The sequence below is a fragment of the Homo sapiens genome, chromosome 1 (assembly GCF_000001405.40).
Source record: "Homo sapiens chromosome 1, GRCh38.p14 Primary Assembly".
In the NCBI taxonomy this organism is placed as follows: Eukaryota; Metazoa; Chordata; class Mammalia; order Primates; family Hominidae; genus Homo; species Homo sapiens.
The window spans coordinates 107,912,798-107,938,236 of NC_000001.11; the positions used below are offsets into that span (position 1 = coordinate 107,912,798).

General features: G+C 38.1%; 1 protein-coding gene across 7 annotated transcripts in view, besides 1 other annotated feature; it reads right to left on the reverse strand.

The window, feature by feature from the left end:
- VAV3 (vav guanine nucleotide exchange factor 3) overlaps positions 1-25,439 on the reverse strand; it is a 394,020-nt gene that overhangs the window by 341,637 nt on the left and 26,944 nt on the right. The window lies entirely within an intron of this gene.
- Positions 23,479-24,015: an enhancer, noted in NCBI's record as "OCT4-NANOG-H3K27ac hESC enhancer chr1:108478898-108479434 (GRCh37/hg19 assembly coordinates)". NCBI's record gives its function as "activates a minimal SCP1, AML or CMV promoter by ChIP-STARR-seq in naive H9 embryonic stem cells {active_cell/tissue: H9 hESC(naive)}" and the evidence as "EXISTENCE:reporter gene assay evidence [ECO:0000049][PMID:30033119]".

Sequence of the window (25,439 nt, forward strand, 5' to 3'; positions counted from 1 at the left end):
ACATCTCTCTAGCAGATTCCTTTATGAAAAAGAAGTCTCAACTACTCATCTCTGGTTGAACTGAAAGAAAAATCTCAGACACTTTTTCCACAACCACACTTTCCACAGCATCAAAACCACTTGGTACAGTGGTCATATCCTTAGGATCAAGGAAGTCAACATGCCTATTTCTCGTTTATTTCTCTCCAGGTCTAATATGAAGATGGCAATCTCATGTTTATACTACCTCTAAACTAAGCTATTGTAATCTTTTTCATGTAGGTTTTTTAAAAACTATATAGATTTTATCCTATCAAGAGCACAAATATAAGACTGTCTTTTCTTTATAGAGTCCATACTGTCGACAGCAATCCATATCTATATTTAATGTTTTAAATTTTTAATCATATTTTAAATGGTTCTGGCATCAGATTATACAGACAAAAAGCAAAGGAAATGTTTAAGATGAATTCCACAAGCTAATGTTTGCCAGAGAAATGTCAGAAGGCCACAGACATAAAATGCCCATTTGGAAGATGTAGTCAATTTAAGTGTGAACTATCCAGTTTGATGATCCTCTGGCATGCCATTGTGCCCAGAGTGTATACACAACCAAGAGTACAAAATTGAAAGTACACTGCTAATCGCTCACAGCAACAGCAATAAAAACTTTAAATGCTCTAAATTATAATCAGATAACTGGAAAAATATGTTCCTTTCCCATAGCAAGAACTCAATTCATGAGGCAAAAGGAAGGAAATGCATTGACCTTAAAAGTATTCACAAATTTCCAAGGACAAATTCCAAAGATGATCAGGGCTTTGAAACAATCATGAAATACATAAGTACACAAAATAATCTCTCTTTCTCAAAATCATAATATTTGCATTCTCCAGCCCAATGCTGTCAATACAGTTATGCACCAACCTATACACAGGAATCATCAACCTTGGCAGAGTGGAGTATTAAGGAGGCACTAACAAAAATTTTAATTTACAACTTCACAAATTATTATTTTTTTTAATTATTATTATTTTGAGGTGGAGTCTCACTCTGTTGCCCAGGCTGGAGTGAAGTGGCATGATCTCAGCTCACTGCAACCATCGCCTTCAGGTTCAAGCGATTCTTCCGCCTCAGCCTCCCAAGTAGCTGGGATTACAGGCACCTGCCACCACGCCCAGCTAATTTTTGTATTTTTAGTAGAGACGGGGTTTCACCATGTTGGCCAGGCAGGTCTCAAACTCCTGACCTCAGGTGATCTGCCCGCCTTGGCCTCCCAAAGTGCACAAATTATTTTTAAGACTTCAGATGGTTGGTTTTTATATAACTGCAAATGTCTTATTGTTTATATACAAACATACAGAGATGATAGGCAGATAGATGACAGACAGATGAATGTAAATGGCTAATGAGTACAGAAATCCCAGCAATAGAGGGGACAAACTCAACTGTGCCAGCAGAGCCAGACAGAAATGTACCCATGAGAAAATTCAAAGGGCAGCTGACGCAAGAACCTCAGTTTTATCTCGCAACAGTGACGTGCAATAAACATTACTGGGCCCTGCCTTCTGGAGCTCGCAGCCTGGTTGCTCCTGTCTCTCCTGTGGCAGGGCACTAGAGTCACACGAGTTGGCACCAAGTCCTAGCTTCAGCCATGTGATTTATAGGTGAATTATTTGAGTCCTAATGCCATCACTCCCCAGTGAGGATTAAACAATTTCTCTCCCATAAAATTAGCTTGAGGATTAAGTGAGCTAATGCCCATGAAAGCAATCCGTAACCTGTCTTGCACAAATACAAACGGGAAGTATCTCTGTTCTTATAAAAGACTGTGCCTCCTCCATCTGCCTTTCTCCAGTGTGCCATAATGTTTGGAAAACACTGAGGTTTTCAGTTATAATTAGGAAGTACAAACTCTATAATTAAATTTACTTCAAGCCTCAATCAGTAATGGGCTCATTTTAGTGCTTACTTAGTAGGCATGGTCCTATAGCCAGCACTGTACTAAATACTGTGGGAGACAGAAAAGAAAAACAAGATTTGGTCCTTTTGCTCCAGAAATTAAAAGTCTCACTAGGGAACAAAACCAGCACACATAAAGCAGCAGCAAGGCCTGGAGGCTAGCACAGGACTGAAGGGCAAACCCTGCAGGTGGAACTTACTTTGAAAACTAAAGGGAAGAACTCATTTTTTATTTTAATTGGCCAAAAGTTTGTGGAAGGCATTAGAGAGAGAGACAGCCTAAAGACAGGTATAAAGGTAGGAATGTATCTGTAGGCCCAACTAGGGACTCACTTGAATAGTGAGGGGTTAAAAGGAGCAGAAGTTTTTCAGACTATGGAGAACCCAAATACCAAGAAAAGATTTTTAAACTTAATCCAATAGGCCCAAAATGTAGACTAGTCAGTTTCCAAAGTCAAACAAAATTATCACCATGAAAAATTGTGGTAATGGGAAAAGAGTCTCAAAGAAAATAAGACTATTAAAGGTTTAATGAGATGCAAAAGCCTCAATCAGTAGTGGGCTCATTTCCACATCATAATTCCTTGCCCCAGCTTTTAATGCAAACCCAAAAACACATGAGCCAAGAGAAACAAATTTAATTTCTGATAAACCAGGTGCAAGTTATGACTATCACCCCCATGTGATTTACTGGCTGGAAGTAGCACAGGTCTCAGGTGAAGGATTTGGAGACCAGACAGAGGCAGGTCCCAATCCTATGTGAAACTGAGTAAGTTACTTGATCTGTTCCTCGATGTCCTCATCTATAGAGGGAAACAATACCTCTTCACAGAGTTATTTTGAGGCTTAAAAAAAATCTAGAAACTTTAAGCCATATATAAATGTCAGTTAAATAAGGCAAATTTAGCACATTTTGCTAGTTGATGAGCACCCTGTGGACAGGGGCTGTGTTTTATTCTCCAGTGCAAACCCAGAGCCTAGCTCAGTCCCTGACATCTACAGGAATCCAGTAAGTCTTTGATTAGTGAATGAATGTCAAATTTACTGCAATGCATCTTTAGTGAGCACTCATTATATGTGCTGTGGACTTACTAGGTCCGGGCAATTGAGTTGTGAAGAAAACAGAAAGAGCTCCTGCCCTCATGAAGCATGTGGTCTAGTAGGAAAATTAGACACTATACAAATAATAACAACACTGGAAAGCATCACAAAAAAAAAAGGAAGCACAGGGGATGTGCATGTTGAGAGCAATGAGGGGAGCATTTAACTCAGCGTAGAAGTTCAGAGAAGGCCTTCAAGCCATGCAAGTGACAATCATCAATTACTTCTATTATTGTCCACAGTAACAAAAACTATTAATACTTAACTGCCTGTTGCTCTAAATATAGAATTTTTTCAAACATTGATCCAGACATCACATTAAAAGGGAAGGGGAGTGTTGCACACAAAAAAATATATATATGAAAAGAAGAAAAAAACTTCCTGGTAAGTTCAAGTGACATCAAATGTGTTCTACCTACCACTGGTAAGAATAGAAGCATACTGTTCACTCATGGTCAAATTTTTATCAGAAAAATATGAATTACTACAATCAATCTATGCTGTTACAGACCTTTCTTAAAAAGAAACATATACCTGAAGCATAACGTACAAATCTGGTTTCAAATATATTGCAAGTAATATTTTATTTTGAAGGTGTAGTTTCAAACCTCAAGCCCTGAATGTGACCCTCTAAAGTTAACTAATATTTGAGTTCCTTCTCTGTGTAAAATATCAAATAAGACATTAAAGGAAATATTAAAAGCTTTAAAATACCTATCAAGTAATTTACAATTTGTACAGGGAAAAAATTTTACAGGAGTTCAATAAATAAATGCAAATTATACAAAGATGTCACAACACATGATTCCCTGTAAAATAAATACTGATAAATAACATAAGTTCTGGGATGGTTGGAGTGTCTCTTTTTTGATCACCAGTGTATTCAAGTACCTATAACTAGAACAAGTGTCTAGAATCACTACCTTACAAGGCAGTGAGTGAATGAATGAATTAATACGATTCATGGATTAAGTAGGAAGAACAATGTCACAAGAAGGATTCAGGAGAAACATCATGGACAGCAAGAATCAGGGGCCACAAATGATGGTTAGGGAAAACTAGACACAAAGGAGAGGGGAGAAAACTGTGTGACGCACAAGACAAGTTGAGGGGATGTAAAGTGTGAAGGCAGTGACTGGAAATTCGGGCAGAGGAGACCAAACTAAGGCTAGAAATGTTGGTGACGATCAGATTGTCCAAAAATTTAAATATCAAACTGAGGTGTGCACAGGCCTGATCAAGCTGGGTGCAGAAAGTCATCATGGTTTCTGAAGAGAAGGAAATAATCAAAATCTACTGGTAGAGTCCTGCATGGGCCAGAGCAGAGGCCACTGCTGCAAGAACCCACGCAAGAGATGAGAACCTGTACTCAAGCATCAGCAGCGGCCTCACCAAAGTAGTGAGGCAGCTGAAAAGCATCACAGAAGCCCCTCATGACACACTGGAAATTACAGACAGCTCACTCAGCATTCACCACATACCAGGGACCACGCTAAGCACTTTCATGGACATTCTGACACAATCCTCAAAACAAGTCCAAGAAGTAGGAATTTTATAGATAAGGGAACTAAGATTCAACAAGTTAGGTAACTGCCAGAATTCTAGCCATTGGTCTATCTGACTCAGCTTACAGATCTGACCCACCATACTCCTGGATCATAAAGGGGCACCACAACTTTTAAAAAAATACTAGACATTTTCAAACCTGATTGACTAAAAGAATGATGATACCACTGGTAAAAACAGAACACAAGAAAGACATTGAGTCTCAAACATGCTATGTTTGAAGTTACAGAAGAACAGTCAAGGAGAATTGCCCAGCAGACAGTCAAAAATGAAAAAGCCTAAGATCAAAGTTGGAATATAGGCTGAGTATCCCTGATCTGAAATGCTTAGGCCAGAAATGTTTCAAATTTTGAATTTTTTTTTTCAATTTTGGAATACTTTCAAATTACATACTGCATGGGCTTCCCTAATCCAAAAATCTGAAATCCAGAATACTTTGATGAGCATTTCCTTTGAGCCACATATTGGTACTCAAGAAGTTTCAGATTTTGGAGTATTTTCAGATGAGGAATGCTCAACCTGTATGAATTAAGGACTGAGATGCACAGACCCAGGAATTAACTGAAAAAGGGTAGTAATAGAATAGAATAACAGTTAATTATTTAATCGACAAATATTCTGTGAATACCTTTCCTATGGGAACCACAAAGCTAACTTCAGAAGGAAATAAAACAAAGTTTCTGCTCTCCAATAGCTTTCAGACTGGCCAAAAGGAAGGGTATTCATGTATGTCCAGGTCCGAACATACAGTGTGAAAAGCACCTTTGGGGAACAGGAACACACACAGGCAGGGTTGGGAAAGATAGCACAGTAAGAAAGGGACATGCTGGAAATGAAAATATTACAGAATGAGATGAAAAACCCAAATATCATGATTTCAACAAAGCAATGGAACTAAAAACCAGAGTGCAGGTGGCAATTATTTTACCAACAGCAGACCTGGTAAATGGGACTGTGGAGCTCAGGAGGTCCCTACAAATCTGAACACAACACAGACAAGTCTTTAACTCTCTCAGAGTATTTAATGTTTCAAAAATGTAAACCTGGATTGTTGCAAACCAAGCCGAGGTCAATGAAGGTAGGGGAATGGGGAGGGGCTGTGGGTAAATGATGAAAGAGGCCAAAGAAACCAAGAATATTTTGACACATTCTATTTCAGAAGCATTTGCTCACTGTATCCAAATTAATTGGGTATTTTGATGGAAAAAATAAACCACTCCATGAAAATGAACCATAAAGTAAAAAGTAGTTTTAAGGCATATATATATATATTTTTAAGGCATATATATATATATATATATTTTTTTTTTTTTTTGAGAGATGGAGTTTTGCTCTTGTTGCCCAGGCTGGAGTGCAATGGTGCGATCTCAGCTCACCGCAACCTCTGCCTCCCGAGTTCAAGCAATTCTCTTGCCTCAGCCTCCCAAGTAGCTGGGATTACAGACATCCACCACCATGCCCAGCTAATTTTTTGTATTTTTAGTAGAGACAGGGTTTCACCATGTTGCCCAGGCTGGTCTTGAACTCCTGACCTCAGGTGATCCGCCCGCCTCAGCCTCCCAAAGTGTTGGGATTACAGGCACGAGCCACCCCGCTGGACCAAGGCATATTTTACCACTCAAGTTATTCTCCAATGTATGTTTTATTTACCATTCATAAAATTAATAAATTAGTCATTGGTTATAAATTTATAATTAAAAAACAAATCAATGACTTGAAATATACTCAATAGTTATTCTAAAAACAAAACTTACATTTACCTTTAGATGACAATATATTAAAGCTTTATTGAATGGTTATAAATTTTTGTGGAGAAATTTAATATAACTATTGCTTGAATCAAATTCACTATGGAACTATTATACTACTGCTCATCAATTTAAGCATGTGATTACATTTAGAGGAAAGTAATATAAATGTATTGAATCTGGACTAATTCTATTACATGGCTCCAGTGAGCCTATTTTAATGAAATTTCCATGTGGCTGATAAGTTCTGATGGTTTACGTTTTAGCCTATTCTTAATATAAACTGGAAAGTTGTCTAAAACCCTGGATAAATCAGACAAGTACAAAAAGTCTAAGAATTTATCTTCTACAAGACTATTGTTTTAAATATGAGAAAGTAAGGCCAGGAGAAGTTAAATGGCTTGCCCAAGCTGACACACCTGAACTTTGGATGGAGGGACCGGTAGGAGGATAGAGAGGGGAATATATATATTATGCATAATTTCCTCTAAGTATTATAAACCATTGTAAGCATTATATTTTATTACAGTTATACAGGTAAACATATAAATACTAACATGTTATATAAAGACCTATAGAATATTTCCATAAATATGTAAAAACAATTTCTTAACAGTTAAACTATCTTATGAAATCACCATAAACCATGTGGTATCTTAATAAGAACAGAAAGAAAATTAATTAAAGAAAAGAATCAATGTCCCAGAAACAGAACTCAGAAACATAAAAAACATTACCTTAATAAAGGTAACTTAAAAAAAATGAAAGAGAAAATTAACACTGGTTTTCATCAGTTGAGGTGACTTTCTTACAAAATAATTCCTTGAAATCACTTGAATAAAAGGGGAAAAAAATCGGTGGTAATCTTTTCTTTCATAATGTCTGACCTTATCTCCTTATTACAGAAGCAGTTGAAATATCTTTAGTTTGCATTTCAACCACACAGGAAACAGTTATACTTTCTTTCCAGAACATAGTGTGTGAAAACTTCAAGATCTATAACTCACTGAGAAGGGAATGTAGCATAATGCTCTGCTGAACTAGACTAACGTATAGCATGTGATAAAACGGGAACAGTACTGGCACAATGCTACCATCTAAAGATTTGCTTAAACCAAGCTTCACTTAATAGTTGAAAAGCTAGATAAAATGCATAGGAGTTCATCATTACCACACACAGGGTATAAATACGGCCATCCACTAATGAAACTTCGGGGCAAATAGGGACAAAATTCTTCTCCCCTAAATGATGAGGCTAAAACCAAACCAAACCAAACAAAAACTTACGGGTGGTCCACCAAATATTGCCTTGGAGGGAGAGACAGGGCATTTTGCTCATCTAAAACAATATGAAATGATGATATCTCACAAATGTGTATATCTCTGGATAATCTGTTTCCAAATCAGGAAATTCTACCCAACTAGTTTGAACTCTCCAAACCACTTCTTTGATGAAAAAGCTCCCCACCTATTCCTTATATTTTATTGCAAAATTGTTTTATGTAATTTCTTAAATACTTTTTTAAAAAATTAAAGTGAGCTCAAAGAAAATACAAACATTTCCTTCTCCTCCAGTGACAGGGGATCCTCCCCCTACTGAATTTCCTAGAACCTTGTTTGTACCTCTTACAGTGATCAGCACATTTTCCCTTACGATTATTTGTGTGTGTGTATAAATGAGGCATATATATATCTCCTTTGTAGCTTTTAAGCTAGCTGAGAACAGACAAAAGCCTTATTTATACTTTATTCTCTTCACATCTCACATGTGTTATATACAAAATAAGCAAATAGCATAAAATAAAACTTATTAGTATTTTAATTAATATTGTATTTTGTACAGATACTATCATAAAGCTTTTTAACTGGTTTCCCTCTCTACTGCAATTCACCTTCACTCTGCTCCTTGCAAGATTATTCCAAAACAAAATTCCAATTATATTATTTTCCTACTTAAAATCCTTCAGTGGCTTCCTGCAAGTTCATCTGCGTGTCATACACGGCTACTGCAATCCCATCCGCTCTCTCATCGCTTGCTGCAGATATCCGAAAGCCTGGCCTTAAGGATCTATGTATCCTTCCTCTGGGCCTTCACTCTCGACCTGATCCACCAGGCTAATTGCCAGGTATCAACACTCTACTCCAGTCTTTAAACTGCATCACATACTTTAGTGAAACACACTGCATAATACTTCACTTATGCCTTCCCTACAGCACTTCTCATATTGCAGAGGGTAAGGAACTGGGGAAAGGTAAACATGGCTATTTTTCCCCCTCTAAATTGTAAGAAGGTTCCTGGTGATAAAAAGCTAGAAACCACCTGTAAGAATGTTTGCCTAAAAAGCTAAATCCCAGAACTACACATACGGCCTGGACACAGTAAAGTTCTGGAAAGTGGTAGGAAAGTTTATTCTACTCAAACATGAAACCTGCCTGACAGCCAAGTCATCACTCCATAACCAGCCATCCCTTAGAGATGCATTTCCTAATTTCAACAAAGCATCCAGAGGAAAATGTTTTAAATGGAAATTATGGTGGTAAACATTCTTAACATCTGAAATTATTTTATTATTTAAAAATCCTCCCAATCTTTAGTTCTAAAGTGAAATTATCTACTGTAACATTCTAAGAAAATTTGCAAATAAGAAGGCATTAAATATATCGTTTTGATTTTCTTAATCTGTAAAAACCAGGAAAAAAGGTATTAAAAGTATGAGAAATTAAAATGTTAGTGCTATTCCTTGCTATTACACTAGTTCATGGAGGATAACCTTAACCTAGTTATTTAATGTCTTCTCAGCTTTTTTGTGTAAACCAGGCCTTCAACCTGCCTCACAAACATGACCCAAGGAATAGACACTAAGTTCTTCTGAGGAAGATTCAGTGCTTGTGAAATGCATGAATTAGATTATGTATCTCCTTGATCTGTCAAAACTGTATTCAGGAAAACAACCAGTCCCTCATATATCACATCACCTCACTCCAGCCAGAGGGTTGACAGTTGCCTCCACTGGGCTCATCTATCACTCTACCTTGCACACACCTCAAGTGCTGTCCACATCAAGCTGTATCATAATATATATTTATATAACTGACTGCCAAAAAAACCTCCATAAGGAGGAAATTAATGTCTTGTTTTGTGTCAGTATCCAGAAAAAAAAAATCACTGAGTTTATCCAGGCAGTAGAAGGGATTTTTAGGCATATTTTACCAAAGTTAAAAACTGAAAGTCTATTATCTAACAGAAATAGCAATATCCTGAGTACACTGTGAGATTTATATTGTGACTTTCACTTTTTAAAGTTTTATATGAATATATATCTATACAAGTTATATTGTATAAAGTATACTAGCTGAGCTTTTTGTTCTTGCAACATGGCCTAAAAAATAGTAATTTCCTAACCATCATCAACTTAATTTTTAAGAACATTAAGAGGAAACATTTTACATCATTGCTGTTTATTAACAGAGGTGTGACTCATGTACAATAAATTGCACATATTAAAGAGCACAATTTGGCCGGGCGCGGTGGCTCACGCCTGTAATCCCAGCACTTTGGGAGGCAGAGGCGGGCGGATCATGAGGTCAGGAGATCGAGACCATCCTGGCTAACACAGTGAAACCCCGCCTCTACTAAAAATACAAAAAATTAGCCGGGCGTGGTGGCGGGCGCCTGTAGTCCCAGCTACTCGGGAGGCTGAGGCGGGAGAATGGCGTGAACCCGGGAGGCGGAGCTTGCAGTGAGCCGAGATCGCGCCACTGCACTCCAGCCTGGGCGACAGAGCGAGACTCCGTCTCAAAAAAAAAAAAGAAAAAAAAAAAAAAGAGCACAATTTGATGAGTTATCTCAGGTGTATACATCTATGAAACCACCACCACAATCAAGGGAGTGAACATTTCCATCACCCTCAACAGCTTGCAGAGTTTTTTTATGCTCTTTTTTCATGTCTGTCTTCCATCCCTTCCTGTCTCTAGCATCTACCAATCTGCTCTGTGTCATTATAAGTTAAATTGCCTTTTCTAAAACTGTATATAAATGGACTCATATGGTATATTTCTGTGCGTTTGGGTTTTGTTTTGGAATTGCTTAACCCCCAACTAATAATGAGTCCCACTGCATCAGGCCTGATCTTCCTACCCACAGAATTTGCTATGGTTTGAAGGTTTGTGTCTTCCTCCCACCCTAAATTCATAAGTTGAAATCCTAACCCTGAAGGTGATGGTATTAGGAAATGAGGCCTCTTAGGAGGTGATTAGGTCATACGAACAGAGCCTTCATGAATGAAATTAGTGACCTTATAAAATAGGCCTGTATTAGTCCGTTCTCACACTGCTATTAAAAAAAAATACTTAAGACTGGTTAATTTATAAAGAAAAGAAGTTTAATTGACTCACAGTTCTGCATGGCTGAGGAGGCCTCAGGAAACTTACAATCATGGAGGAAGGTGAAGGGAAAGCAAAAACCTTCTTTACATGGTGTCAGGAAAAATAAGTGCAAGCAGGGGAAATGCTAGATGCTTATAAAGCCATCAGATCTCATGATAACTCACTTACTATCATGAGAAGAGCATGGGTGAAACTGCCCCATGTTCCAATCACTTCCCACCAGGTCTCTCCCTCAACATCTGAGGATTACAATTCAAGATGAGATTTCGGTGGGGACACAAAGCCTAACCATATCAAGGCCCAAGGGGACTCATTTGCCCTTCCATCTTGTAAGGACACAATGAGAAGGTGCCATCTATAAATCAGGAAACAGGCCCTTACCAGACACCACATCTGCTGGTATTTTCATCCTGGATTTCCCAGCCTCAAGAACTGTATAAATTCCTGTTGTTTATAAGCTCCCCAGCCTACAGTATTTTGTTATAGCAGCCCAAATCAACCAAAACAGTACTGTTTTGGACTTTTCACTCTGGAGCTTTTAGAACAGTTTTTAGAACATGTAATTCCATATTCTGGAGAAGGGACATGGCCATGGATACAACCTCTTTCTTCTCTCCCGTTCCCTATAGAATCTTATTGGTGAGAAGTGACAGAAATTTGTCAACAACCCATTGCAGTTTTGAAGGCAAAGAATTAAAAATAAGTAAATCTATGTCATCGCTATTTTAAAACTAAATGTCCATGCCTAAATTACAAATCAATTGTTATAAATTGTTTCCACATAAAGAATTTTGAATGTTACTAAATGATGTCAGCTTGATAACAAATTTTACCCTCCAGTCGATATTATGACAAAAAAAAAAAAAACCCTGTAAACACTCAATTTAAAAGAAATAGCTGGTTTTCTGGGTGGCTGACAGGGCTTTAATGACATAGAAGTGGCCACATCAGCAAAAAGGAAATATTACCTCCTGGTTACCTCTCAACTTTTGTCAACTTCTCAGCATACCACCACCAAAAATATCTATGGCTTTAGAATTTCTGATCATGCAAATACAATACACACTAAGAAAATTTAAGAAACTGTAAATGCATTGCATACATGACCAAACTGATTTAACTGACAGTAGCTAAAAACAGTGCCTTCATATCTATTTGGAAAGTTGATGCTATGGTGAAATGTTTATCCTGTTTCTTTACAGACACCATTGGGGGAAAAAAAACTGTGACCATATGTTCCCTGAGAACCCTTGGCATATTAAATATTAAACATAGAACAACACAACGATATTAAGAATATTTAGGGAAACTCTGGCAAATGCTGTGTAATACAGCTAGAGCGACACAGTTAAAAGCCACTCTTAGTTCTATACACAACAGAAATGTGTCCCAAAAGATATGTACGCATTCAGCAAAAGATATGTACAGGATGGTCAAGGCAGTATATTTGTAATACTAAAACTTGGAAGCAGAAAAATGGATAAAATATGGTACATTTATAAGATGAACAAAATATTGCTGCATGGGACAATGTGGATATGTCTCAAAACATGATATTGAACACAAGATGCCAGACACAAAAGAGTGCATTATGTGTGATTCTATTTACGTACACTTAAAAAAAAGAAATCAGAAAAACTAATCTTAGCGTTGACGGTCAAGATAGAAGTACCTTTGAGGCCTGAGGGAGGGACCAAAGTGAGATTCTAGGGTGCTGGTAATATCCTATGCTAACTACATAGGAGAGTCAGTTTGTGAATATTCAGTAAGCTGTATAATTATTTAAAGAAGGTACAAACCAATATTACACTTTAATTTAAAAGTTGAATTTGTATACCCGTATTCAGAGCAGCATTACTCACGATGGCCAAAAGATTAAAGAAACTCAAGTATTCATCAATATATAAATGGAAGAACAAAATATGGTGTATACATACAATGGACTATTATTCAACCTTAAATTTCAGGAAGGAAATTCTGCCATATGCTACAACATGGATAAACCTAAAAGGCATTATGCTAAGTGAAATAAGCTAGTCACAAGTGCACAAATGTATGATTCTACTTACATGAGGTATCTAGTGTAGTCAAATGCATAGGTACAAAAAGTAGAATGGTGGCTGTCAATGGCTAGGGGAAGGGGGAATAGGAAATTACTGTTTAATGTTACAGAATCACAGTTTACATTTGGGAAGATGAGCTCTGGAGATGAATTGTGGTGATGATTGCACAACAATGTGGACACATACTTAATGCTATTGAACTATGTAATTAAAAATAAATCAAAGAAAAAATGTTACATATATACCATATATGTATATATAAACAGATATGTCACATATAAATATATAACATATATGATATATATGTTACATATATAACATACGTATATATAAACAGAGATGTATCTCTTGCATCTTTTAAAAACTAATGTAAAAAATTGTTACAAGAATCAACAAGGGGCCAGGTGCGGTGGCTGCCTGTAATCTCAGCACTTTGGGAAGCCGAGGCGGGCAGATCACCTGAGGTCAGGAGTTTAAGACCAGCCTGGCCAACATGGTGAAGCCCCATCTCTACTAAAAAAATACAAAAATTAGCCAGGCATGGTGGCAGGTGCGTGTAATACCAGCTACTCGCGAGGCTGAGGTAGGAGAATGACTTGAACCCGGGAGTGGAGGTTGCAGTGAGCCAAGATCGTGCCACTGCACTCCAGTCTGGGTGGCAGAACGAGACTTGGGTCTCAAAAACAAAAACAAAACAAAACAAAAAGAATCAACAAGGGGCTCCCATTGGCCAAACATAGGACAAGTTGAACTTCAAAAAGAATAATGGGTAGGGGGTAGAGCAAGATGGTGGAATAGAAGGCTACACCAATTGTCTCCTTCAAAGACACCAATTTAACAACTAACTACACAAAAAATCACCTTCATAAGAACCAAAAATCAAGTGAGCACTCACAGTACCTGGTTTTAACTTCATCACTGAAAGCAGCACTGAAGAGGATAGGAAAGACAGTCTTGAATCATGGATGCCACCCCTCCCCCATCTCCTGGTAGTAGCTGTGTGGTAGAGAGAGAGAATCTGTGCACATGGTAGAGAAAGAGTGCAGCAAGCGCGAGGCATTGCATTTAACTCAGTGTTGCCCCATCACAGCAGAAATCCAAACCAGGCTGAACTCAGCTGAAGTCCGCCCATGAAGGGAGTATTTAAACCAGCCCTGGCCAGAGGGGAATTTTCCATCTCAGCAGTCAGAACTTGAGGTCCCACAAGCCTCACCACCACAGGCTAAAGTGCTCTAGGGCCCAACATAAACTTGAAAGGCAGTCTAGACCACAGGGATTGCAACTCCTAGGTGATTCCTAGTGTTGAACTGGGCTCAGAGCCAGGGGACTGTGGGGGAACACAACCTACTGAAACACCAGCTGGGCAACTAAGGGAGTGCTTGTACCACACCCCTCCCCTAACCCCATGCTGCACAGCTCACAGCTCCAAAAGAGAATCCTTCCCTTTGCTTCAGCAGAGAAGATGGAAGAGTAAAGACGACCTTGTCTTGCATCTTGGATACCAGCTCAGCCACAGCAGGATAGGACATCACAGTCATGAGCCCTTTCCAGGCCCTAGCTCCTGGACAACATTTCTAGACACACCCTGGGCCACAAGGGAACCCACTGCCATGAAGCGATGGACTCAGTTCTGGCAGGACCAATCACCTTCTGACTAAAGTGCCCTTGGTCCCTGAATAACCATTATCAATACCCAGGTAGTACACCATGGGCCTCAGATCAGACTCTGAGACTTGCTAGCTTCTGGTGAGACTCACGACATTCCCAGCTGTGGTGGCTATGGAGAGAGATGCCTTCTGTTTGAAAAAAGAAGAGGAAATAGCAAAGGGGACTTTGTATTGTACCTTAGGTACCAGCTCAGCCACAGGGGGATATAGTACCAAGTGGGCTCTGGGGGGTCTCCAATTACAGGCTTAGCTCTGGACCTGCCCAGCAACAGAGAGCCCACTGCCCTGTAAGGGGAGTCCCAGGTCAGGTAGCATTAATGACAAGCTGTCTGAAGAGCCCTTGGCCCTTAAGAAAACATTGGTGGTAGTCCCGTAGTACTCCCTGTGGGCCTGTGATGCTGGCCATGGGGTAAGGCTCCTCTGCCTGTGGAAAGGGGAGGGAAGAGTAGGAAGAACTGTGTCTTGTGGTTTGTATGCCAGCTCAGCCACAGTACAATAGAACACAGGTAGACTTCTAAGATTTTGGACTCCAGTCCCTGGCTCCCAGATGATACCTCTGGACCCACCTGGGGCCTGGGGGAACTTGCTGCCCTGAAGGGAAGGATACAAGCCTGGCTTCACCACCTGCTGATGGTAGGACACCAGGGCCTTGAAAGAACACAGCAGTAGCCAGGGAGTGGTTACAGTGGGTCTTAAGTGAGACCCAGTGCTATACTGGCTTCAGAGCACAGTCCCGGTGGTGGTAGCCAGAGGGGTGCTTGTGTCACTCCACCCCCAGCTCCAGGTGGCTCAGAACAGAAAGAGAAACTCTATTTGGGATAAAGTAAGGGAAGAGAACAAAAGCCTCAGCCTGGTGGTCCAGAGAATGCTTCCAGATCTTATCAAAGACCATCAAGGCGGTGCCTCTACAACTCTACAAGAACCACAGCATTACTGGGTTTGGGGTGCCTCCTAATGCAGATACAGCCTAGATCACAACACCCAAGTCCTTTTGGAACTGGAAAGCCTTTGGAAGAAAGATAGGTACAAACAAGCCCATACTGTGAAGGCTACAATACCTAACTCTTCAATACCCAGCCACAGACAAACATCCACAAGCACCAAGACCATCCAGGAAAACATGACCTCACCTAATGAACTAAATTAGGCACCAAGGACCAATCCTGGAGAAACAGAGATATGTGACCTTTCAGACAGAGAATTTAAAATAGCTGTTTTGAGGAAATTCAAAGAAATTCAAGATAACACAAAGAAGGAATTCAGAATTCTATCAGATAAATTTAACAAAGGGATTGAAATAATTTTCAAAGGTTAAGTCGAAATTATGAAGTTTAAAAATGCAATGACACACTGAAGAATGCAACAGTCTTTATCAGAATTGTTTAAGCAGAATTAGTGAGCTTGACAGCAGGCTAGCTGAAAATACACAGTCAGAGGAGGCAAAAGAAAAAAAAGAATAAACAACAATGAAGCATGCCTAGAGGATGTAGAAAACAGCTCGAAAGGGAAACCTAAGAGTTATTGGCCTTAAAGAGTAGGTAGAGAAAGAGATAAGGAAGAAAGTTTATTCAAAGGGATAATAAAACAGAACTTCCCAATGTAGAGAAAGATATCGATATCCAAGTATAATAAGGTTCTAAAACACTAAGCAGATTTAACCCAAAGAAGACTACCTCAAGGTATTTGAAAATCAAACTCCCAAAAATCAAAGATAAAGAAAGGATCCAAAAAGTAGAAAGAAAAAAGAAACAAATAACACATAATGGAATTCCAGTACAACCGGCAGTAGACTTTTCAGTGGAAATTTTACAGGCCATGAGGGAGTGACATGACATATTTAAAGTGCTGAAGGAGAAAAATTTATGCCCATTAGCCAGGAGTGGTGGCAGACGCCTGTAGTCCCAGCTATTTGGGAGGCTGAGGCAGGAGAATGGCGTGAACCCAGGAGGCAGAGCTTGCAGTGAGCCGAGATCACACCACTGCACTCCAGCCTGGGTGACAGAGTGACACTCTGTCTCAAAAAAAAAAAAAAAAAAAATTATGCCCTAGAACAGTATATTCAGTGAAAATATCCTTCAAACATGAAGGAGAAATAAAGACTTTCTCATACAAACAAAAGCTAAGGAATTTCATCAACACCAGACCTGTCCTACAAGAAATGTTAAAAGCTTCAATCAGAAAGAAAAGGACATAAATGAGAAATAAGAAATCATCTGAAGGTACAAAACTCACTGGTAATAGTAAGTACGCAGAAAAATACAGAATATTATATAACATTGTAACTATAGTAAGTAAACTCCCCTAAGTAGAAAGACTAAATGATGAACTAATCAGAAATAATAACTACAACTTTTCCAGACAGACAGTACAATAAGATATAAACAGAAATAATAAAGAGTTAAAAAGTGGAGGGACGAAGTTAAAAAGTGTAGAAATTTATTAGTTTTCTTTTTGCTTGTTTGTTTGCTTGTGCAAACAGTTTTGTTATCAGCTTAAAGTAGATTTGGAAGCAACCTACGTGCCCATCAATAGATGAATGGATAAAGAAAATGTGGTACTTATACACAACAGAGTACTACTCAGCCATAAAGGAAAATGAGATCCTGTCATCTGCAACAACATGGACAGAACTGGAGGTCATTATGTTAAGTGAAATGAGCCAGGCACAGAGAGACAAACTTTGCATGGTCTCACTTATTTGTGGGAGCTAAAAAATTAAAATAATTGAACTCATGGAGATAGAGAATAGAAGGATAGTTACCAGATTCTGGGAAGAGTAGTGGGTGGTTGGAGGGGAAGTAGGGATGGTTAATGGGTACAAAAAAAAATAGAGTAAGATATACTATTTGCAAGCACAACAGGGTGACTGTAGTAAAAAATAATTGTACATTTAATAACTAAAAGAGTATAACTGGATTGTTTGTAACACAAAGCTTAAATGCTTGACATGATGGATACCCCATGTACTCTGATGTGATTATTACACATTGCATGCCTATATCAAAATATCTCATGTAATCCATAAATATGTATACCTATGTACCCACAAAAATTAAAACTAAAAAATTTTTTTAAAGAATTATGAGTACCTTGATAAAAAACACATTGAATATATATAAAGACCCACTAGCTCAGAATGAGACTTAAAACAATAGAAAGTCTGCCCCTCCCCTCCAAAAAGAAATCAATTAGTCATTACTAGAAATGACATACTCTGAAAATTGGTAATCAAAGGAAAATAATTACCTAACTACTTCTGCCCTTCCCATATGTATTACACTTTCAGGGTTACCTAGTCGATAAGAAAAGATTCTTCTTTACAAAAGAATTCCAGTCAAAAAATGTTAAAGAACTAATGACATTTTTTTAACCACCATTTTGCAAGTCCTAAAAAATTGTTTTAGGCAAAGATTAATAATAAATGACATGATTGATGAAAAGTCAATGAAAAACTTTATATTGAAGAGATGATACTGTCACCACCTAAACCCACCGATCAATCTTAGCAAATCTACGTGTGGGGCAACCAGCCATTATTTACCTCTGATGTGGAACAAAATGAAGTACACTGCATCGGCTATGATGTATCTTAGCAAAAATAGGTGAATATTAATCTGTTCATGCCTTCAGAGCTAATATTCAATTTTAAGGTATTATAATATATAGAGGAACAAGTTAATGACACCATGAGAAAGCAAGACAACAAATACAGAATGTGAAATAGTCTACGAGACAAGTGACCAGGTTTCCTGATCTCGTTACTACCTAGAGAAAAGGACCACTAAATTAAAAGTGACTCACAGGTAATATTCAAATGCAGTAAGGATCCAAATGGGCTTTGTTTGGATCCTTCTTTGGAGCCAAGTGTAGAGGAAACATTTTGAGACAATCTAAGAAATCTGAATACGGACTGTATGTTAGATTATAATAAGAAATTGCTCACTTTGTTAGATGTGATAATGGCATTCTGACTATTTAGGAAAATCTTTAAAAATTTAAAGATGCATATCAAAGCGTGTAAGGACAAAAACAGCATGATGCCTGGGATTTGCTTTAATACTTAGGCAGAATAATAATTATACATTGAATACATGTATCAAAATATCACATTGTACCCTATAAGTATGCACAATTATTATATGCCAATTAAAAATAAAAAATATACATTTTTAAAGAATAAAGGGGTATAGTTGAAGCAAATGTGATAACCTAGATAACCGTTGAATCCAGGTGATGGGTACATGACAGTTCATATTCTCTTTGTGTATGTTTAAAATTTTCCAACATAAATAGTTTTAGACTATTCAAATGATACAGATTATACTTTACATATTTTAGATTATCCATGGATATTAAAACACGTGATTGAAATATTGTCATAAAGAATTGTAGTCAAATTATTCCTTACTTAACAAATAAAGAAAATGAAGACCAGAGAACTTAAGTGGTCTGCTCAAAATTACACAGCCATTATTAACAGTCAGCTCATGCTGAGAGTAACAACAACTAGCATTACACTATGGAAGCAGCCCTAATTCCAAACCACAGATTTGGGGGTTTAGCAAAGGGACTAACTCTCAGTAATTCAATACCTCACCATTTTATTTCAAATTTGTGCTTTGAACATTAAGCATGGTCCTTATGAAACTAATCTGAGAACAGTTCTATATGAAAAAATATAGAAATCTATTACATTCTTAACAGTACAGCTAATAAATGTTTTTCTTATGGCCAACCAGCATAGCACAACGATAGCTCTCACACCCATACAGGCAACAAGAGCCAGCCTGGCACACTGCACTGGGCATTCCTGGTGCCCACACTTGTGTTTTCCCCGGCTTCAGTGGCATGTCAATTGGTTCATTTACTTTATCTGATGTTACTTTATGTGCTGGTAATAATGTTAATTCATCACAACAGCTAACAAAAGGTACCCAAATCACAGCACGAGAGATGCCACACAAGTTCAAGAGCGGGCATTAAGACATACTTCTCAGGAGTTCAAGGTGAATGACACCTTAGAAGTGGTAGCTGAAGAGACTATAATTCAGTGATTTATGTAGCAGTCATGGAGAAACTGGCAGAAGTCCTCTGCCCAGGAGTGAGTGACATTAGTTTGCATGAACAAAACCTGAAAGAGACTATGCAGAAACATGTGAGACTTCAGGTGATTTGATGGGAACAAAGCAATAACTATGCAGTATGATTTACAGAACACAGCTCCATAGGGTCTATGCTGCAAGGACCTGTAAGTATGCTGGTAGGCTGAATAATAGCCTCCAAAGATGTCCTCATCCCAAACCCTGGAACCAATGAATAATACTTTATTATGGTAAAAGGGATTTTGCAGACATAATTAAAGATCTCGAGATAGGGAGGTTATACTGGATTACCTGGGTGAGTCCTAAATATAATCACAACTGTCTTTATAAAAAGGAGGCAGAGTAAGATTTGACCACAGAACAGGAGAAAGCAATGTTGTGATGGAAACAGACATTACAGTGATGTGATTTGAAGGATAAAGAAGGGGCCACAGGGCAAAGAATCCAGGTGGCCTCTGGAAGTTGAAGAAAGCAAGAAAATTAATTTCCTCCTTGAAGCCTCTTAAAAAAACTAGTTCTGCCAACATCTTGACTTTAGCCCAGTGAAACTGATTTTGAACCTTTGGCCTCCAGAGCTGTTAAAATACTGAATTTGGGTTATTATCAGCCACTAAATTTGTCATAATTTGTTACAGCAGCAATAGGAAACTAATACATATCCCAATGTTAAGGAATATATCTCCCCAATAAATATGCCTATGTATAAGAAATTTATGCCAAATAATGAAACGTGTGTGAATATATTAAAAACCTCTTACTATTCCGAGGCCTAAATGACAGTACAGTGTAAATATTTTCTTTCTAAATTATTCAGTTTTGTGGTTATTTTATTGTCTTGTTTTGCTTACAATACTCATATTTGCCAGAGGTTTAGGTTTAATTTGGTTGGTGGTGGTGTGGTGGTTTTTTTGTGTTTTTTTTTTTCCAGTACAAAAGATAACCTTTCTCCAGAAACTATTTGGTCCTCCTCTACCCTTTATAAGCAAAGGATATCTTAGACTCATTGCTCTTGAAAATCTGACCATTTCAAATTCTGAATATAAATGTCCTCAGAGTCCATCTACATTAATTAGCTCACTTCAAGGTTAGCAATTAGAAGGAGAAAAAAAGTTAAAGCTCATCTACCCATTTCCTGCAATTGGATTTGCAAATTCTGTAAATTTAATTGACATATGAAAATTGAATCTCCCCAGCACTTTGGGAGGCCAAGGCAGTAGGATTACTTGAGCCCAGGAGTTAAGAGACCAGCCTGGGGAATGCACTGAGACCCCATCTCTACAAAAAAATTTAAAAATTAGCTGAGTATGATGACACACACCCAGTAGTTCCAGCTCCTCAGGAGGCTGAGGTGGGAGGATGGCTTGAGCCCAGGAATTCAAGGCTTCAGTGAGCCATGATTGCACCACTCCATGCCAGCCAGGGCAACAAAATGAGACCCTTCTCAAAAAAAAAAAAAAAAAAATTAAATCTCATTACTTGAAAATTGCGATTTTAAAAAGCATGCTATCTGTAGGTAAAGCAATGTTTCCACAGTCATAAGAGGAGTACAGAAGTTACAGTTTCTTCTTTGGCCCTTAGCAGGAGCTTGGCTCACAATAGTGATCAGACCAAAAGATGAAAGCACTACCACTGGTCTCTGGCCAGCTTTGTTGAATGCAAAACAGTTTCTGACATTATCAGTGACCATACTCAAAAAGCTGTTTAATTCTAATCCAAGAAATTAGGATTTATTCAAGGAAATTTCAAAAGTGCCTTCTATTCTTATTATCTTGGAATTATAAGAACTCTATGGTTTATTCTTTAAATAATTATATCCTTTAGAATAAGGATAAATTCTCTATTCTGTGAAATGGCTAGATGAAAATATTGCAAAACCCAAGACTTTCCTGGATGTCATCTATTAATATTACAACAAGAAACAGATGCACCTCTACTTAGAATCATAAACTCTTCTGCTGCTAAGAATCCTGAGACTTGTGATCTGGACCAAAACCCTTAGAACAGAGCAGAAGATATATTTTGCCACTCTTTTTCTTCCTGTGAAAACAGAAACAGAACAAAACAGGCTATGTGTATGTGTGTGTGCATCCTTCATATGTGGAATTGTTTTTTAAGCCATTTAACTAAGATGAGTATTAGCAACAATTACTTAAGAATTCCTAAATATTTCAGACAAAGATGTGTCTCCAGGAGGAACGGCTCCTATGAAAAGTATAGTTCTAACCAAAAAAGTATAGTTCTAACAAACACAGGTAGCTCTGTTAAAAACTGTACCCTTCTTACACATCAAAAGTCTCGAAAAGGAAACTCTTAGTTCCAAAAATAAGTTATGATGAAAACTTAACCACTGAAATTTTAATTATATGCTGTATTTAGCATTTTCAAATATCACATTCAGAAAATTTCAGACTGAACACACACTCTGGGGAATTTTGTGAATCACTGTGTTGTTATTAAGAGAAAAGCACATGCTAAACAAAATATAGCGGCACAGCGAGGCAAATGAGAGGAGACGTGCTACAAGAAACAAATTCTTGCACGACCAGGCTATCTGCAGCTTTGAGGAGAAGAGTTGGTAGTACATGAACCCATCACACACTAGTAACAATAGCCTCTAATTTCCCTCTATCACTTTTCTTCATAAAATATATTCACCTCCCACAGATTACGCGAACTGATGGGGCAAGTTTCCGGTTGGCAAACATTCATATCAGCCAATTTGCCAATGAGAACAATTGGCAGTGTTCTACTTTCAACATAAATTCCTAAGGTCTTCTCCATTTGGGGGCAATTACAGCTGTAAGATTACAGTTTCCTACAGTTCTCCAAAGCAAAGCAGTTGCTTCTAATTATTCCTTCATTTTAAAGCAATTAAGCCAAATGTTATTTGATTTCATTCAAGTGAATAAATATTGAGTTCTTCCTAAGATAAACCTCTAGAAAGCCAGAGTTTACACTGCCAGTCAGCAAATAAAATTCACAGTGATAAGGTATATCAAAGAAGTAAATATATAATTCTCCAGGAAGAAAGGAGCAGCAGCACCTACTGCACAGAGACCACAGGGTCTACTCTCTCCTACAGTGTTACGAGCACTGAAATGTTCAGTGGTTGGAGAAAATGAAAAGCCAGGTCTGACAAATACACAAATTTGGTCCTCAGTCCCTAAAATTAGAAATAAGTTTCCCCATCAGAATGAGGATGAACATTTCATTCACTCACTTACTCATTGCAGTTACAGAAATGAGTAAGAAACCATCCGTGACCTGAATAAGTTCACAGCAAGGTAGGCAGAGGCAAAGGGACAATAGGGTGCAGTGGTGTGCACCATGACAAAGGGGAAGTGCTAGGGAGGCACACAGGAGAGGCACCAAAAACAGACAGGCCAACCAAGGCCATTACCTATGCTGTATTTTGCAGAGAAATAGGAGTTAACCAGCAAAGGGAAAGGTGTTCCTATTACAATGACAAGGAGATGAAAGAAACCATGGTATATCAGGTGATGGTCTAATGGAAGGGAGATAAGGCTCTGAACTACACCGATGACAGAGGCACACAGACATCAAAGAGGTGAAAATACCCCATCAGTTGAAGAATTTTGCTTTTCAGTGTGTGAGAGATGAGGACACATTTATGCCCCTTTTGGAAACTTTACTGAAATTTTATGATTTGGGGAGAAAAGTAAACGTAGGACATTATTACAGTTCCTAGATTTGATGAACTAATAATTTTTAAAATGTGAATTGAGAAGGGAGAGGAGGGGCTCAAAAATATGAATTGATAGATAAAACATCCTGAAAATACACCCACAATTTTTTTTAGTACTTGGAAAATAAATCTGAAAATAATTTGAATAATCAACAATGACTTAATGCAACATGTAACACTTTTGAATAGTGGAAAACCTCTTACAAATTTGAGGAAAGTGCATTTAGCCAATGAAAAATTCTATATTTAATATATAAATTAGTTGTGCATAGTGTTAGAATTACAATATAACTAGATTAGAACCAAAAAGGTAAATCAGATTCTGGGTCTGATTTTTAGATTATAAACAAGAAATCTAAAATCAAACACTAACAGATTTGTCTTACCGAGTTTTTAAAGATATGACAATCTAGAGAAACAACAGTGACAGTAGACAAAAATTACTGCTGCCCTTTTATTAGCCTTAGTCGGCAACTTCTGTTTTTAATTGTTTTCATTCATTTGCTTAATTGAAACCAAAGCTGGCCAAGTGACTCAAGAATGAGTCACAGCTCCCCTCCTGGAGTAGCCACAAGCCTGACTGTGGCATACTGCATGCACTAAGCCTGAATTTCAAGTTGGAGAAGAATGCATGACAAAATGCCAAGGGCTGCTGACATTGCCAAAGAAGTTGTCAGGACCATAAGGATGTCCTGAGAGTAGAATTCCCTGCACTTCCTTTCCTGGTTGGAATTTATGCACTTATGCCTCATCGCAAACCACAGAAAAGATACACCTGTGTCACGCTGCTCCTTCCCCGACCGATCTTGTGATTTGATACACATCATTCCTTAAAAGGAAGGGACATCTGAGAGGGCACCCCTTTTACTTACTTCTCAATGCTGCCGGTCAGATTTCCAAAGACTACGGGAAATGGGAGGGCCAATGTGACTACTGAGATTGCCACACCTTACACACAGTCAGGCAAAGGATGCCTAGCAAGAGTGACAGTCTAAACATAACACCCTCCACCGCCACCCCAAAAAAACAGCTCCATCATTCACACCATAATCCTGTTTTAACAAATAATGCACATGTGACACAAAACCACAATATTTGGCGATCTGAAAAACATACCAAGAAATAATGTGTGATTATTTAAATTCAAAACACCACCATGACTATTGAGATGTTACTTCTTATAGAGGCAAGGATGAAACCCACGCATGACTAATTGGTCCCTTCCATGCTGACTGTGGAATCCTCCAGCCTTTGCACAATGAATGTGGCTAGTGACTGCAGCAGCTGTAACATCAGCACAAAAGGTTTTCTTCAAACCAAACTTCCATCTCTGCCTGCCAAATACCAGTATGTCATTTCCTTCCTGCTGGACTCCATGGTTTCTGGAGGACAAGAACCATGTAATTCTTAAACTTACACCATTGGTATCCTCTACTATTTGAGATAAGTACAAAACATTCAATGAATGTGTGATGAATGCAAAATGAGCAGGGAATACCTATAACTGCTTCTTGGCTGTTTATGCCCTCACTATCATGTTGACACAATGCTAAAGAAAGTATGCATAATTATCCTAATTACAGTCATTACAGCCAAAAAGCCCTTAAAGTTAATCACAAGGTTTCTAGTGGCACCCTTAAAATAAAATTATAAATTAAAATTCATAAAATTCTAAGACTCTGGTTAAGGCTTGTAGTCCCAATTATTAACACAATATAATGACTGCATTAATATCTATACACTATAGGTAGGCCCCAATTTAAGAAAAATTTTAGAATGTAGTACACTAACATGTCTAGTCCTTAGAATTTAGAATACATTTTTCCAAATAAATAAGGCTCTTGTGATCAAGTTCATAGGCCAGCAACCCTCAACTCAAAAAAGCTGAAAATAGAAAAATGAAATCATTTTATCTTTGCCTCCTTGCTTTGAAGCATCATAAAATGCACTCTGTCACACAGAGCATGTCTGCAGTCTTCTCAACATGCCTGGCATGGAATCAAGCCTAACCTTCTTGGGGAGCCAGGGAGGATGGACTCAGGGCTATAGGTATTCTTGACCCTTCATATATAAACAGGTGGTGGGAAGGGTAAGAATGAAAATGGGAAACAATTACCCTACAGAAGAGGAGGCGATCCCCGAGCCAGAAAACAGGCTAA